This window comes from Homo sapiens, chromosome 2 (genome assembly GCF_000001405.40).
Source record: "Homo sapiens chromosome 2, GRCh38.p14 Primary Assembly".
Taxonomy (NCBI): Eukaryota; Metazoa; Chordata; class Mammalia; order Primates; family Hominidae; genus Homo; species Homo sapiens.
Genome location: NC_000002.12, coordinates 61,443,474 through 61,458,961, shown reverse-complemented (window position 1 = coordinate 61,458,961; position 15,488 = coordinate 61,443,474). Strand labels below are relative to the sequence as shown.

Sequence of the window (15,488 nt, the reverse complement as noted above, 5' to 3'; positions counted from 1 at the left end):
CCCAAGTAGCTGGGATTGTAGGCGCCCACCACTGTGCCCGGCTCATTTTTGTAAATTTAGTAGGAATGGGGTTTCACCATGTTGACCAGGCTGGTCTTGAACTCCTGACCTCACCATCCACCTGCCTTGGCCTCCCAAAGTGCTGGGATTACAGGCGTGAGCCACTGTGCCCCGCCAAGATTTTAAGGAAGATGGAAGATTCAAGTGGGCCCTGTTTGAAATAGTTGCTGGGAATGAGAGGAGTGAAATATGGCCTACCTTGACTTGTGAAGGCTCTGCATGACTTAGCCTCTGCTAGCTTCATTCCCTTGTTCTCTTTGCCTTTTTTTTTTTTTTTTTCCTTTTTGCCTTCTTTCATTGATGACACTGAGCCTTTATACATACCTTTTTTTTTTTTTTTCTGAGACAGTTTCACTCTTGTTGCCCAGGCTGGAGTGCAATGGTGTGATCTTGGCTCACTGCAACCTCTGCTTCCTGGGTTCAAATGATTCTCCTGCCTCAGCCTCCCGAGTAGCTGGGATTACAGGCACCCGCCACCACGCCCGGCTAATTTTTGTATTTTTAGTAGAGACAGGGTTTCACCATGTTGGCCAGGCTTCTCTTGAACTCCTGACCTCAGGTGATTTGCCTGCCTCTGCCTCCCAAAGTGCTGGGATTACAGGTGTGAACCCCCGTGCCTGGCCTGTATATACCTTCTTATGCTTTTAAGTTTTGACTGAAATGATTTTTTTCGAGAAGTCTTTCCTGAACTCCAAGTCTGAAGTAGCTCTGGTTCTTTTTATTCATAGCATTTACCACAATTTAGAATTATGTATTTCTATGTTTACAACTGTAATTTTTTTATTCTATGAGACTATCAGTTCTATGATTGCAACTGTTACTACTGTTTTACAGTGCCTGCATGTGGTAGGATCAGTGTTTATTTAAAATATCTGAAAAATCGTAAGATCACTGTGGGTTGATAATAGAAGGGAAAACAAGGGTAGGCTAGATGTGGTGTTTCCTGTTTTCTCGGATATATCAAGTACTGTCAGTCCTTGCTTTTGTGATGTCTTGCTTGCCACCCTCTTCATAAAATGGTACTTTTTGTTGTTGCTGCTGCTGTTTGTTTTTGGAGACAGGGTCTCACTCTGTCACTCAGGCTGGAGTACAGTGATATGATCCTAGCTCACTGCAGCCTTGACCTCCTGGGCTCAAAAGAGCCTCCCAAGTAGCTGGGACTACAGGTGCTCATGATGACACCCAACTTGCTTGCTTATTTATTTGGGAATGGGTTTCACTATATTTCCCAAGCTGCTCTTGAACTTCTGGCCTCAAGTGATTCTCCCGCCTCAGCCTCCCAAAGTGCTGGGATTACAGGCGTGAGGCACCACACACAACACTTTACTAGTTCGTGATATTAGTACCTGTGGGTTAAATTTAAGGTTGAGAATTATTATTCTTTTTAAACTAGGTAGGATTCTGTCTCAAGGACCAGAAAAAACCGTTTCTTTGGCAGAAACAGAGTTTTTCTTTAAAAGCTATAAGTAGGCCGTCTAGGTGTATATTCAGGTGTGCTTTACTTTTAATCATTGGGTTTATAACATAATCAGGACTTTATTTCTCTGTGGCTTGCTGGGCTTCCTTGGTTTTGACCTCAGTTTGGCCCTTCCTATGGTAACAGAAATGGCTACTGCACCTTATTTATTTGACAGGTCTTGCTCTGTCGCCCAGTCTAGAGTGCAGTGGCACGATCACGGCTCACTGTAGTCTTGACCTCCCAGGCTCAAGAGATCCTCCCACCTCAGCCACCTGAGTAGCTGGGACTATAAGCCTGTGCCATCACACCTGGCTAATTTTTGTAATTTTTGTAGAGGCAGGGTTTCACCATGTTACCCAGGCTGGTCTTGAACTCCTGGGCTCAAACCATCCTTCTGTTCCAGCCTCTTAAAGTGCTGGGGTTACAGGTGTGAGCAGTCACCACTGGTCTGTTTAGTTTTTTCAGACAGAGTCTTGCTCTGTTGCCCAGGCTGGAGTACAGTGGCTCAGTCATGGCTAACTGCAGCCTCAACGTCCCAGGTGGGCCAAGCTATCCTCCTGCCTCAGCTTCCATAGTAGCTGGGACTACATGCCTGTGCCACCACACCCAGCTAATTTTCGTTTTGGTGTTTTTTATTTTTACTCTGTTAGTAAATTGAGATGGGGTCCCACTGTGTTGCCCAGGCTGGTCGTGAACTCCTGGGCTCAAACTATCCTCCTGCCTCAGCCTCCCAAAATGTTGGGATTATAGGCGTGAACCACCATGCCTGGCCATTTTTTTTTATTTTTAGTAGAGATGGGGTTTCACCATGTTTCCCAGGCTGGTCTCCAACTCCTGGGCTCAAGTGATCTCCCTACTTTGGCTTCCTAAAGTGCTGGGATTGCAAGTGTGAGCCACTGTGCCCAGCACTACTGCACCATTTTTATACCACATCTTCATACCACAGTGTTTGGACATCACGTACTTAAACTATGCGGAGAAAAAGAGTGAATCTTTTCTGGAACTTACTGTACAAGAACAAGAAGGCTGCTTTTTCCAAAACCTTCCTGACAAATGTCATTTCATATATTATTGACTCTGTTCCTGAAATAGAGTTCAAAGAGGATGGACTTTGATTGGTTTAAACTAATCAGGACCTATTCTTGAAGCTGATCTCACCCAAATCTCATAACTAAGAGTGTGCTTCTGGAAAAGAAATCTGGCACGTTGTTACCATGAAAGAGGTGAAATTGCTTCTGGGCAGTAAGCCCACGGATATCTAATACACTGAAAACCATTTCTTAATATTGTATTTACTGAGTTGTGTTTCACCTTAACTCTGTTTAAATATTTGTTTTTTTAAAAACATAAACACTTGTGTAAAGCATTCTCCTGTATGCTGGTAGGTATAGAAATACATTTAGCTGTGTATTTTCTCTTAAGGAAGGTTCCAGAGTACAGATGAGGCAGTAGGATGATACTTGAGTGAGTGATCTTTGGAACCTGGTAGACCTGAGTTCAAATCTTGCTCCTGTCATTTATTAAGTCTCTGACTTTGGCTAAGTTCCCTTACCTCTTAATGCCTTGTTTCTTATTTGGAGATGAGGATATTCTTAATACATGTCTCATAGGGATTTTGTGAGGAGTGAATAAGATAATGCATATCAACATTTAACGCAGTGCTAGCATAAGAAATATGCAAAACAACAGCATGAAAAATAAAAATGGTAAATTTTGTGAAATAGTTTTAGTTGAAGTGCAGTGGGAGGAGTTTAGTTTTGGGATGATGGGAGAAAACTTTGTGGACTTGATATAATTTAAGTTGGTCTACGTGGTATATATGCATATAAGTTTTTGAGATGGGGGTCTTGGTATGCTGCCTGGGCTGGTCTTGAACTTCCAGGCTCAAATGATCCTCCTGACTCAGATTCATGTTACCTGGGATTACAGGCACACACCACTGCACCTGGCTATCTTTGAGTGATTGAAAAACAAAAACAAAAAAACCCTGTAATCCTAGCACTTTGGGAGGCCAAGGCTGGTGGATTGCCTGAGCTCAGGAGTTCGAGACCAGCCTGGGCAACATGGTGAAATTCTGTCTCTATTATAATACAAAAACTAGTTGGGCATGGTGGCACACATCTATAATCCTAGCTACCCAGGAGGCTGAGGCATGAGAATTGCTTGAACCCGGGAGGCGGAGGTTGCAGTGAGCTGAGATCGTACCACTGCACTCCAGGTTGGGTGACAGACGGAGACTCTGTCTCAAAAACAAACAAAAGGCTGGGGTGTGGCGGCCCACACCTGTAATCCCAGCATTTTGGGAGGCCAAGGTAGGCATATCACCACAGGTCAGGAGTTCAATACCAGACTGGCCAACATGGTGAAACCCTGTCCCTACTAAAAATACAAAAATTAGCTTAGCATTGTGGCGTGTGCCTGTAATCCCAGCTGCTTGCCAGGCTGAGGCGGGAGAATCGCTTCAACTTGGGAGGTGGAGGTTGCAGTGAGCCAAGATGGCACCACTGCACTCCATCCAGTCTGGGCGACTAGTGAGACTCATCTCAAATAAACAACCAAAAAAAAAAAAAAAGAAAAAAAAAACCCCACTATATTTGCTGGGTGTGGCGGCTATGCCTATAATCCCAGCACTTTGGGAGGCCTAGGCGGGCGGATCACGTGAGGTCAGGAGTTCGAGACCAGCCTGGTCAACATGGTGAAACCCATGTCTACTAAAAATAAAAAAATAAGCTGGGTGTGGTGGTGGGCCCCTGTAATCTTGGCTACTCGGGAGGCTGAGGCAGGAGAATCACTTGAACTTGGGAGGCGGAGGTTGAAGTGAGTAGAGGTTGTGTCACTTCACTGTAGTCTGGGCGACAGAGGGAGACTCCATCTCAAAACAAGAACACTATATTGACACAGTCACCAGGGACCTGTTGTTTATGAAAGTACACAGAGAAGTTTTCTCTATAACTCCATGGATCCAGTGCTTTCCCTTTGGGAAAAACAAAAACAAAAACAAAACAACAAACAAAAAACTGGCTGGGCGCAGTGGCTCATGCCTGTAATCCCAGCACTTTGGGAGGCCAAGGCAGGTGGATCACTTGAGGTCAGGAGTTCAATACCAGCCTGGCCAACATGGTAAAACCCTATCTCTACTAAAAACAAAACCTAGCTGAGCATGATGGCACACGCCTGTAATCCCCAGCTACTTGGGAGGCAGAGGCAGGAGAATCACTTGAACCTGGGAGGTGGAGGTTGCAGGTAGCTGAGATCACACCCCTGGGTGACAGAGGGAGACTCCTTCTCGAAAAACCCCAAACCCTCTCTTTTCCTGCCTATAATTTAATCACTGTAGAAATCTGTAGAAAATACTGAAGAAATACAAACCTTGTGATTGTTAAAATTTTGGTTTATATAAATCTAGCTGTCTTCTGTGAATATGTATAAACTGAGTTTATACTTACCTACTGTTTTTTATGAGCATTTTCTTATAAAATGCTCATAAAAAACATGAGCGAACATGATGAAACCCTGTTTCTACCCAAAATACAAGTATCTGAGAACAGAATTTAATGGCAGCCTACTTTTAGTCTTTTGAATGTGACACATATTTAACTAATGTTTTCCTGTTTAAAAAAATATGAAAATATTTTTAAGCATAGAAATCTGGGTCATGTCCCAGGTCAAGATGTAAATTTGGTGTTTTTTGGTTTTTTTCTTCTTCCTTTTTTTTTTTTTTTTTTTTTGAGATGGAATGTCACTCTGTTGCTTGGGCTGGAGTGCAGTGGTGTGGTGGAATCTTGGCTCAGTGCAACCTGCGCCTCCTTGGTTCAAGTGATTCTCCTGCCTCAGCCTCCTGAGTAGCTGGGATTACAGGCACGCACCACCATGCCTGGCTAATTTTTGTATTTTTAGTAGAGATGGGGTTTCACCATATTGGCGAGGCTGGTCTTGAACTCCTGACCTCAAGTGATTCACCCTCCTGGGCCTCCCAAAGTGCTGGGATTACAGGCACAAGCCACTGCACCTGGCTTGTTTTCTTTTTTTGAGACAGGGTCTTACTCTGTCGTCTATGCTGGAGTACAGTGGCGTGACCATGGCTCACTGCAAACGCTACTTTCCAGGCTTAAGCAGTCCTCCCATCTTAGCCTCCTGAGTAGCTGGGATTATAGGCGCAGGCCACCACACTTGGCTAATGTTTTTGGTATTTTTAGTACAGATGGGGTTTCACCATGTTGCCCAGGCTGGTCTCGAACTCATGGGCTCTAGCAATCCACCCGCTTCGGCCTCCCTAAGTGCTGGGATTATAGGCATGAGCCACAGTGCCCAGCCTAGATGTAATTATTTAAGGGTTCTGATTTTCAGTTACCTTCTAGAAAGGTTGTATTAATTTATTGCCTAAAAGCTTTATATGAGAGTGCCTTTTTTTTTAAAAATATTAGATATTCTATTTTTAAGAATCTGTATGATAGGGTGTCCTAACATGATAGGATGTCTTAAACTACTATATTTGTTCCTGCAAAGTTGTGGGTGTTTTTTTTTTTTTTTTTTTTTTGGTTGTGGGGTGGGTCATCATAGTGTCTTGGTCTGTCTCTAAGGGCTGGAGTGTAGTGAGTGGCGTGATCAAGACTGACTGCAGCCTTGACCTCTGAGGCTCAAGCGATCCTCTTATGTCAGCCTCCTGACTGCAGGTGTGTGCTGGCAAGCCCAGCTAATTCTTAACTTTTGTTTTTTTTTTTGGTGGAGACAGGGCCTCTTTGTGTTTCCCAGGTGGGTCTCGAACTCCTGGTTTCAAGTAACCCTCCTGTCTTGGCCTTCCAAAGTGCTGGGGATTACAGGCCAGCACGGTGGCTGACGCCTGTAATGCCAGCACTTTGGCGGGAGGCTGAGGCGGGTGGATCACCACCTGAGGTCAGGAGACCAGCCTGACCAACATGGTGAAACCCTGTCTCTACCCAAAATACAAAAATTAGTAGGGTGTGGTGATGCATGCCTATAATCCCAGCCACTTGGGAGGCTGAGGCACGAGAATCTCTTGAACCCCGGAGGTCGAGGTTGCAATGAGCTGAGATCGCGCCACTACACTCTAGCCTGGGTGACAGAGTGAGACTCTGTCTCAAAAAAAAAAAAAAAAAAAAAAAAGTGCCGGGAATTATAGGCACGAGCCACTTCACTTGGCATGGTTCTTGAGTTTTAATGGCAAGTAGTCTTTTGTTATTTAGAAAGGTCATTCCCACTCAAGATTAGATACTCAATTAAGTCTTTTTCTTTCTTTTTTTTTTTTTTTGAGACGGAGTCTCGCTCTGTCGCCCAGGCTGGAGTGCAGTGGCATGATCTCGGCTCACTGCAAGCTCCGCCTCCTGGGTTCACACCATTCTCCTGCCTCAGCCTCCCGAGTAGCTGGGACTACAGGCGCCCGCCACCACGCCCGGCTAATTTTTTGTATTTTTAGTAGAGACGGGTTTCACCGTGTTAGCCAGGATGGTCTCGATCTCCTGACCTCGTGATCCGCCCGCCTCAGCCTCCCAAAGTGCTGGGATTCCAGGCGTGAGCCACTGCGCCCGGCTTTCAATTAAGTCTTTTTCTAGCTTTTATGGATTTGTTAAATTTAATTTTTTATTCATCTGGAATTTATTTTGGTATCAAGTATGAAGTAGGATCTAACATTAATTTTTCTGAACAATGACTTAGTGATTTTAGCAAATTTGAATTTCTCTCTTTTCCATTGATTTGAAATGCCAGGTCTGTCTGGTTTTTTGTTTTTTTGTTTTTTTTTTTGAGGCGGGGTTTCGCTCTTGTTGCCCAGGTTGGAGTGCAATGGCATGATCTTGGCTCACCACAACCTCCGTCTCCCAGGTTGAAACGATTCTCCTGCCTCAACCTTCCGAGTAGCTGGGATTGCAGGCATGTGCCACCATGCCCGGTTAAGTTTGCATTTTTAGTAGAGACGGGGTTTCTCTCTTGGTCAGGCTGGTCGTGAGCTGCCAACCTCAGATGATCCGCCCACCTTGGCCTCCCGAAGTGCTGGGATTACAGGCGTGAGCCACCGCACCCAGCACCATGTCTGTCTTGTACAGAATTTATGAGTATATTCTTGGAGGCCTATTTTTAAGCTGTTTATTATTTCATCATCTAGTTTTAATTTAGTCACTTTATAATTTATCTTTGTGCCTGGTGCCGTTAAACCAAATAGGTTGTGAAAAGTTATTCATTTCTTTTTTTTTTTTTTTTTTTTTTTTTGAGATGAAGCCTCACACTGTCACCTGGGCTGGAGTGCAGTGGCATGATCTCGGCTCACTGCAACTTCCACCTCTCGGGTTCAAGTGATTCTCCTGTCTCAGCGTCCCGAGTAGCTGGAATTATAGGCGCCTACCACCATGCCCAGCCAATTTTTTTTACATTTTTAGTAGAGATGGGGTTTCACCATGTTGACCAGGCTGGTCTTGAACTCTTGACCTCGTGATCCGCCTGCCTTGGCCTCCCAAAGTGCTGGGATTACAGGTGTGAGCCACCGTGCCTGGCCAAGTTACTCATTTGTTAAGATGAAACTTTAGAATCCTTTTTTTTTTTTTTTGCATCTCCTCCGTTTCTATTGGAATTTTTATTGAAATTGGATTATGTTTATAAGTGGGGTAAGAGTTGACATCTTACGGTGTCTTTCCCGAAAGGAAATAATGTATCTTCCCATTTTTACATAATTTTTGTTTCTTTTTGACGTTTTATATTTTTCCCCTTTATGTAGGTTCTGCGTATTTCTTTTTACATGTACTCCTGGATATTTTTGTTTGTTGTTCCCAATTAAAATGGTATATTTGCACATCTTTATCATTTATTTTACTTTATTATTTATTTGGTATTTTTAGTAGAGACAGGATTTCACCATGTTGGCCGGGCTGGTCTCAAACTCCTGCCCTCAAGTGATCTCCCTACCTCAGCCTCCCATACTTTATAATTTTTTTAACAGCTATAGTGAACTATTGGGTTGGTGCGAAAATAATTGGGGTTTTGCCACTTGTAAACCACAATTACTTTTGTACCAATCTAATAAATTCACATACCTTACTGGCACCCGACTGATTCAGAGTTGTGCAACCATCACCACAAACAAGTCTAGAACACTTTATCACCTCAATAGGATTCCCCTACCTTTTAGCAATCAGTCACCCTAAGCTACTTCCCATTTCAGTAGCACGAAGCAACAACCAATATGCATTCTTAATATATTTGCCTATTCTGAACCTTTCGTGTATATGGAATACTAATATTTGTTTTTTTTGTGACTGCCTACTTTCACTTAGCATAATGCTTTCCAGTTTTGTCCATGTTGTAGCATATGCCAGTACTTCAGTCCTTTTTTTTTGTTTAAGACTTTTTGTATTTTTATTTTTATTTTTTGAGACAGAGTCTTGGTTTGTTGCCCAGGCTGGAGTGCAGTGGCATGAACTTTGTTCACTGCAGGCTCTGCCTCCTGGGTTCAAGTGATTCTCCAGCCTCAGCCTCCCGAGTAGCTGGGACTACAGGCGTGCGCCACCATGCCCAGCTTATTTTTGTATTTTTAGTAGAGACGGGGTTTCACCATATTGGCCAGGCTGGTCTCGCACTCCTGACTTCGTGATCCACCCACCTCAGCCTCCCAAAGTGCTGGGATTACAGGCGTGAGCCACCGCGCCGGCTGATACAACTTCATTCTTTTGCATGAGGCTGTTCAGTTGTCCAAGCTTCATTTTTAGAAAAATCTATTCTTTCTGTTGCATGGTCTTGGCATCCTTGTTTGAAAGTCATTTGCCTGTACATATATAGGGTTTTTTTCTGTACTCTGTATTCTGTTTCATTGATCTGTATGTCTATCCTTACGCCAGTACTACACTGTCTTGATTGCTGTGGCTTTGTAATAAGATTGGAAGTCAGAAAGTGTAAATCTTTGTTTTTTTTTTGTTTTTGTTTTTTTTTTCAAAATTATGTTGGCTCTTCAGGGTCCCTTGAGTTTCCTTCTGAGTTTTAGGATCAACTTGAAAACTTCTACAAAGATGCCAGCTGGAATTCTGGTAGAGATTGTAGTGAATCTGTGTATCAAGTTGAGGATTATTACTATCTTAACAATATTAAGTCTCCTGATCCATGAACATGGGATATCTTTCTATTTATTTAGGTTGTCTATAATGCTTTAAACAATATTTTGTAGTTTCCTACTTTTTTTTTTTTTTTTAAGAGGGAGTCTCACTGTCATCCAGGCTGCAGTACAGTGGCATGACTTCTGCCTTCCAGGTTCGAGCGCTCCTCTTGTCCCTCCTGTCCCTCCCGTCCCTCCATTCCCTCCTTCCTGTTGCCCAGGCTGGAGTGCAGTGGCACGATCTTGGCTCACCGCAACATCCACCTCCCAGGTTCAAGCAGTTCTCCTGCCTCAGCCTCCAGAGTAGCTGGGATGATTACAGGCATGCGCCACCACACCTTGCTAATTTTTATATTTTTAGTAGAGACAGGTTTTTCCATGTTGGCCAGGCTGGTCTCGAACTCCCAACCTCAGGTGATCCACCTGCCTTGGCCTCCCAGAGTGCTGAGATTACAGGCATGAGCCACTGTATCCGGCCTCTGGCCTGCACTTTTTGTTATTCAATACATTTTGGGCAAAGAATAAGAATCTTATTCTTTCTGATGCTATTGTAAAATTGTTTTTCTAGATTTTACATCTGAATTGTTCATTGCTAATATATAGAAATATGGTTGATTTGGTACCTTGATCTTGTATCCTGCAACCTTGAACTCATTTGTAAATTGTTTAGTGGATCCCTTAGGACTTTTTTATGTATGTCATCTATGGATGGAAACAGTTTCTTTATTCTTTCCATTTGGGATGACTTTTACTTCATATACTCATTATTAAAAATATATCTTCATTTGGCTTGATCAGTGGTTATCAAAGTATGATCTGTCAACCATGGAGGTCCCAGAGAGCCTGTCAAAGAGTTGTCAAGATAAGATATTCTTTGCATTTTTTTTCCCCGTCCTTGAGACAGGGCCTCACTCACTCTGTTTCCTGGGCCAGAGTGTGGTGCTATTATCAGCTTACTACAGACTTGAACCCCTCAGCTAAGGTGATCCTCCTGGGACTGCAGGCATGTGCCACCACACCAGGCTAAATTTTTTTATTTTTGTAGAGACAGATCTCACTGTGTTGCCCAGTCTGGTCTTGAACTCCTGGCCTGAAGCAGTCCTCCTGCCTTGGCCGCCCAAAGTACTGGGATTATAGACATGGGCATTCATGCCTGGCCAGTTTGTGTTTTTCATTGTGTTGACATTTTCATTGATAGTGCAAAAGTGTCATGGATAAAACTACTGGCCACTTTGTATGAAGAAAGACAGTGGCATTAAGTAGATGTTGTATTCCTTACTCCCAAACATTTGTTATTTAAAATAAATTTTGACTTGATGTTCAATTTTATTAAATTTCACAGATCCTTGGCTCTTGCCTGTAATCCCAGTATTTTGGGAGGCCAAGGCAGGTGGATCACCTGAGGTCAGGAGTTCAAGAACAGCCTGGCCAACATGGTGAAACCTTGTCTCTACTAAAAATACAAAAATTAGTTTGGTGTGGTGGCGCGCACCTGCAATCCCAACTACTTGGGAGGCTGAGGCAGGAGAATGGCTTGATCCCAGTAGGCGGAGGTTGCAGCAAGCCGAGATTGCACCACTGCACTCCAGCCTAGGCGACAGAGTGAGACTGTCTCAAATAAATAAATAAATAAAAGAAAAAACCCAAAACTAAAAAAACCAATTTCACAGATCTTGTATTCATGTCTTTTTATATTCTGTGATGAAATGAGTTCATATAAAGCATTTCTTCTCTCCTTAGTGCAGTAAGATGGTTAATTTGAGAAAATGGACAAGTGGTTTGAGTTGTGAGCTGAGCTAGCTGCTTTTTTCATAAAACATCTGTTTGAAAGTGTGATGGACTCATGCAAAGTTATCCAGATTTTTTATATTTAACAAGCATTTTCTTGAAAAACCAAGCATGTCACTTCAAGGAAGACTGATAATGTTAATTGCCAGTGATAAAATTTGAGCTTTGATAGAAAAATTAAAATTTTAGAAAACTTGAACCTGACACCATGAACTTGAAAGGTGCCCAATACTTAACAGATTTTTCTGATGAGATCAGTGGAATTATATATGTTTTCTGGTTTTTTTTTTTTTTTTTTTTTTTTTTTTGGAAGACAGTTTCACTCTGTTGCCCAGGCTGGAGTGCAGTGGTGCGTTCTCTGCTCACTGCAACCTCTGCCTTCTGGGTTCAAATGATTCGGGTGCCTCAGCCTCCCGAGTAGCTGAGACTGCAGGTGCATGCCACGATGCCAGGCTAATTTTTTTATTTTTAGTAGAGACAGTGTTTCACCATGTTAGCTACGCTGGTCTTGAACTCCTGACCTCAGGTGATCTGCTTGCCTTGGCCTCCCAAAATGCTGGGATTACAGGCATGAGCCACCACGCCCGGCCTAATGTTATTTTCTGATGCTGTGTAATGAAATGTGTCAACATTGGAAAGATGATGTACATAACTTAGTGGACCAATATTTTCCAGATCACCAGTATATTATGTTATAAAATTATGCATGGGCAAAGTATCTACTCAGAGGGTAAAGTAGATCAGTGGAATTTTTTTTTTTTTTTTTTGATGTGGAGTCTTGCTCTGTTGCCCAGGCTGCAGTGTAGTGGCACGATCTCGGCTCATTGCAACCTCTGCCTCTCAGGTTCTAGGGATTCTCTCACCTCAGCCTCCTGAGTAGCTGAGATTACAGGCACATACCACTACACCTGGCTAATTTTTGTATTTTTAGTAGAGATGGGGCTTCACCATGTTGGCCAGGCTGGTCTCGAGCTCCTGACTTTAAGTGATCTGCCCGCCTTGGCTTCTCAAAGGGCTAGAATTACAGGCGTGAGCTACCACGCCCAGCCTACATCACTGGATTTTAATGTAACAGACAGTACTTACATGATTTCAGTTTTCATATTACAACTCATTTTAAGAAATTACCATTGAGTTTTGGTGTAATATTGAAGAAGAAAATATTTAAGACAAAGCTGTTAAAATATTCCTACTTTCAACTTTAGATCATTTCAGGATGGATCTTCATATACTTCAATCAGGACAGTATATGATGGAGTACAGAAGCACTTAGAAGGATACAGCCATCTTCTATTAAGCTAGACCCTAGATTTTCAAAAATATATAACAGTTCCACTTGTCTCACTGGTGTTTTTTGGTGGAAAATATGGAATGAAGTATTTATAAATGAATGAATAAATATGTAGACATTTCTAAGTTTTAGTTTAGTTTTTTTTTTTTTTTTTTTTTGAGACAGAGTCTGACTCTGTCACCCAGACTGGAGTGCAGTGGTGCAATCCTGGCTCACTGTAATCTCTGCCTTCCTGGGTTCAGGTGATTCTCCTGCCTCAGCCTCCTGAGTGGCTGGGATTACAGGTGCCCACCAAGTTACAGACTAATTACTTTTTTTTTTTTTGAAACAGAGTCTCACTGTGTTGCCCAGGCTGGAGTGCAGTGGCACGATCGCAGCTCACTGCAACCTCTGCCTTTCAGGTTCAAGCGATACTTCTGCCTCAGGCTCCCGAGTAGCTGGTATTACACGTGCATAGCACCACGCCTGGCAAATTTTTTGTATTTTTAAAAATAGAGACTGGGTGTCAGGCTGGTCTTGAACTCCTGACCTCGTGATCCGCTTGCCTTGGCCTCCCAAAGTGCTGGGATTACAGGCAGAGCCACTGTGCCTGGCCTGTAAGACATTATTATTATTTTATACAGTTTATGTTAATTTAGATTTACCCACATTTACTCTTTCTGTTGCTCTTCTTTTTTGTGTCTCTTGGCTTTCATCCGGGATCATTTTTCTCTTAGCAATTTTTTTTTTTTTTTTTTGAGACGGAGTCTCGATCTGTTGCCCAGGCTGGAGTGCAGTGGCGCAATCTCGGCTCACTGCAAACTCTGCCTCCCGGGTTCATGCCATTCTCCTGCCTCAGCCTCCTGAGTAGCTGGGACTACAGGTGCTTGCCACCACGCCCCGCTAACTTTTTGTATTTTTCGTAGAGATGGGGTTTCACTGTGTTAGCCAGGATGGTCTTGATCTCCTGACCTTGTGATCCGCCCGCCTCGGCCTCCCAAAGTGCTGGGATTACAGGTGTGAGCCACCGGGCCCGGCCAGCATTTTTTTTTTTTTTTTTTTTTTTTTTTAGTGTGGTTCTGCTGTTGACAGTTTTTTCTCTTAGCATTTTTTTGTGTGTGTGTGTTTAGTGTGGTTCTGCTGTTGACAAATTTTTTTTTCAGTGTTTGCTTGTTTTCTAAAGTTCATTTTTAGGCTAACACTGAAGTAGGATAATGAATTACAAGTTGGCAGTTACTATTGCTTCTTCAAACCAATCATTCCATTGTCCCCTGGCTTCCATTGTTTATACAGAGAAATCACCTATCGGTTTTACTGTTACTTCTTTGAAGATAAGTTTTTTCCTCACTTGCTCAGTTTTTTTTTTTTTTTGGTGTTAAGGAACAGAGTTTAATAGGCAAGAAAGAAACGATAAGGCAGAAGGAAGAGGCTCCCCTGTACAGAGACGGAGGGGGTGCTCCAAAGCCAAAAAAGGAGGTCTCCACGTGCGGTGGACACCTGCCAGGTATATATGCAGAGGCTGGAGGAGGCAATGTCTGATTTGCATAGGGCTCAGGGGATTTGTTTGACTAGGCATGTCATTCAGGTAGCCCGTGAAAAAGCTGGCCCTCCCACCCTAGCCCTTTAATGTGCATCATTTGCTCAGTTTTAAGATTTTCTTTGTTTTTGTCTTCAGTAGTTAACTATGACAAGTCCGCATCTGATTTTGTATTTATTGGGATTCATAGTGCTTCTTGAATGTGAGTTTTTTAAAAATTTATTTTAGAAGTACTTAGCCATTATTTTTTCAAATGTAGTCACTGCCTCAGTCTGTCTTTCATCACCTTTTGATCTTCCTTCTCTCTTTTGCTTTCTTCTATATTTTTATCCTTTTGGCTTTTGTGTCTTCATACTGCAGTCTGGATATTTTCTTTGACCCATCTTCCTTTTTCGATTTCTCAGTCTTGTTTAATCTGTATTAAAGCCATCTATCAATTTTAATTTCTGTTATTGTATATTTTAATTCTTAGGCTTTTGAGTTTTTTCTTTTTAATAGATTTTATTTTTGGGACAGGGTTTTGCTCTGTCACCCAGGCTGGAGTGCAGTGGCAGAATCTTGTCACCTTGACCTTCTGGGCCCAAGTGATCCTCCCACCTCAGCCTCCTGAGTAGCTGGGACTACAGGCATGCATGCCCCACCATACCTACAATTTTATTTATTTATATTTTTAGCAATGAAGTCTCCGTATGTTGCCCATGCTGAAGCAGTCCTGCTTTCGCCTCCCAGAGTGCTAGGGTTACAGGCATGAGCCACCTTGCCTGGTCAGCATTATTTTTTTACAGCAGTTTTTAGTTCACACCAAAATTGAGCATAAGGTGCAGATATTTCCGGTATGCCACCTGACTCCCCACACACGAAGCCTCCTCCATTATCAACATCTGACACCAGAGTGAGTGGTACATTTGTTACACTTGGTGAATCTACGTTAACATATCATTATGACTCAAAGTCCATAGTCCACATTAGGGTTCACTGTTGGGGTTTGACAAATGTGTAATAACATATCCACCAGTACAGTGTCGTACAAAGTAGTTTCACTACCCTAAAATCCTGTGTGCCCTACCCATTCATTCCTTCCTCCCCACTAATCACTGGCAACTGCTGATCTTTTTACTGTCTCCATAGTTCTGCCTTTCCTACTACATCACATAGTTGAAATCATACAGTATGTTGCCAGTTAAGATTGGTTTCTTTCATTTAGTAATAGGAATTTAAATGTTCTTTATGTATTTTCATGTCTTGATAGTTTTTTTTTTTTTAACACATCTGCTGGCAGGAA

The 15,488-nt window shown here is 42.7% G+C and overlaps 1 protein-coding gene across 1 annotated transcript in view, besides 1 other annotated feature; it reads left to right on the top strand.

Moving 5' to 3' along the window:
- Positions 1-15,488, top strand: part of USP34 (ubiquitin specific peptidase 34) — a 283,625-nt gene that overhangs the window by 12,126 nt on the left and 256,011 nt on the right. The window lies entirely within an intron of this gene.
- Positions 8,586-8,685: a silencer, noted in NCBI's record as "silent region_11526". NCBI's record gives its function as "represses an Ori minimal core promoter by ATAC-STARR-seq in GM12878 lymphoblastoid cells {active_cell/tissue: GM12878}" and the evidence as "EXISTENCE:reporter gene assay evidence [ECO:0000049][PMID:35858748]".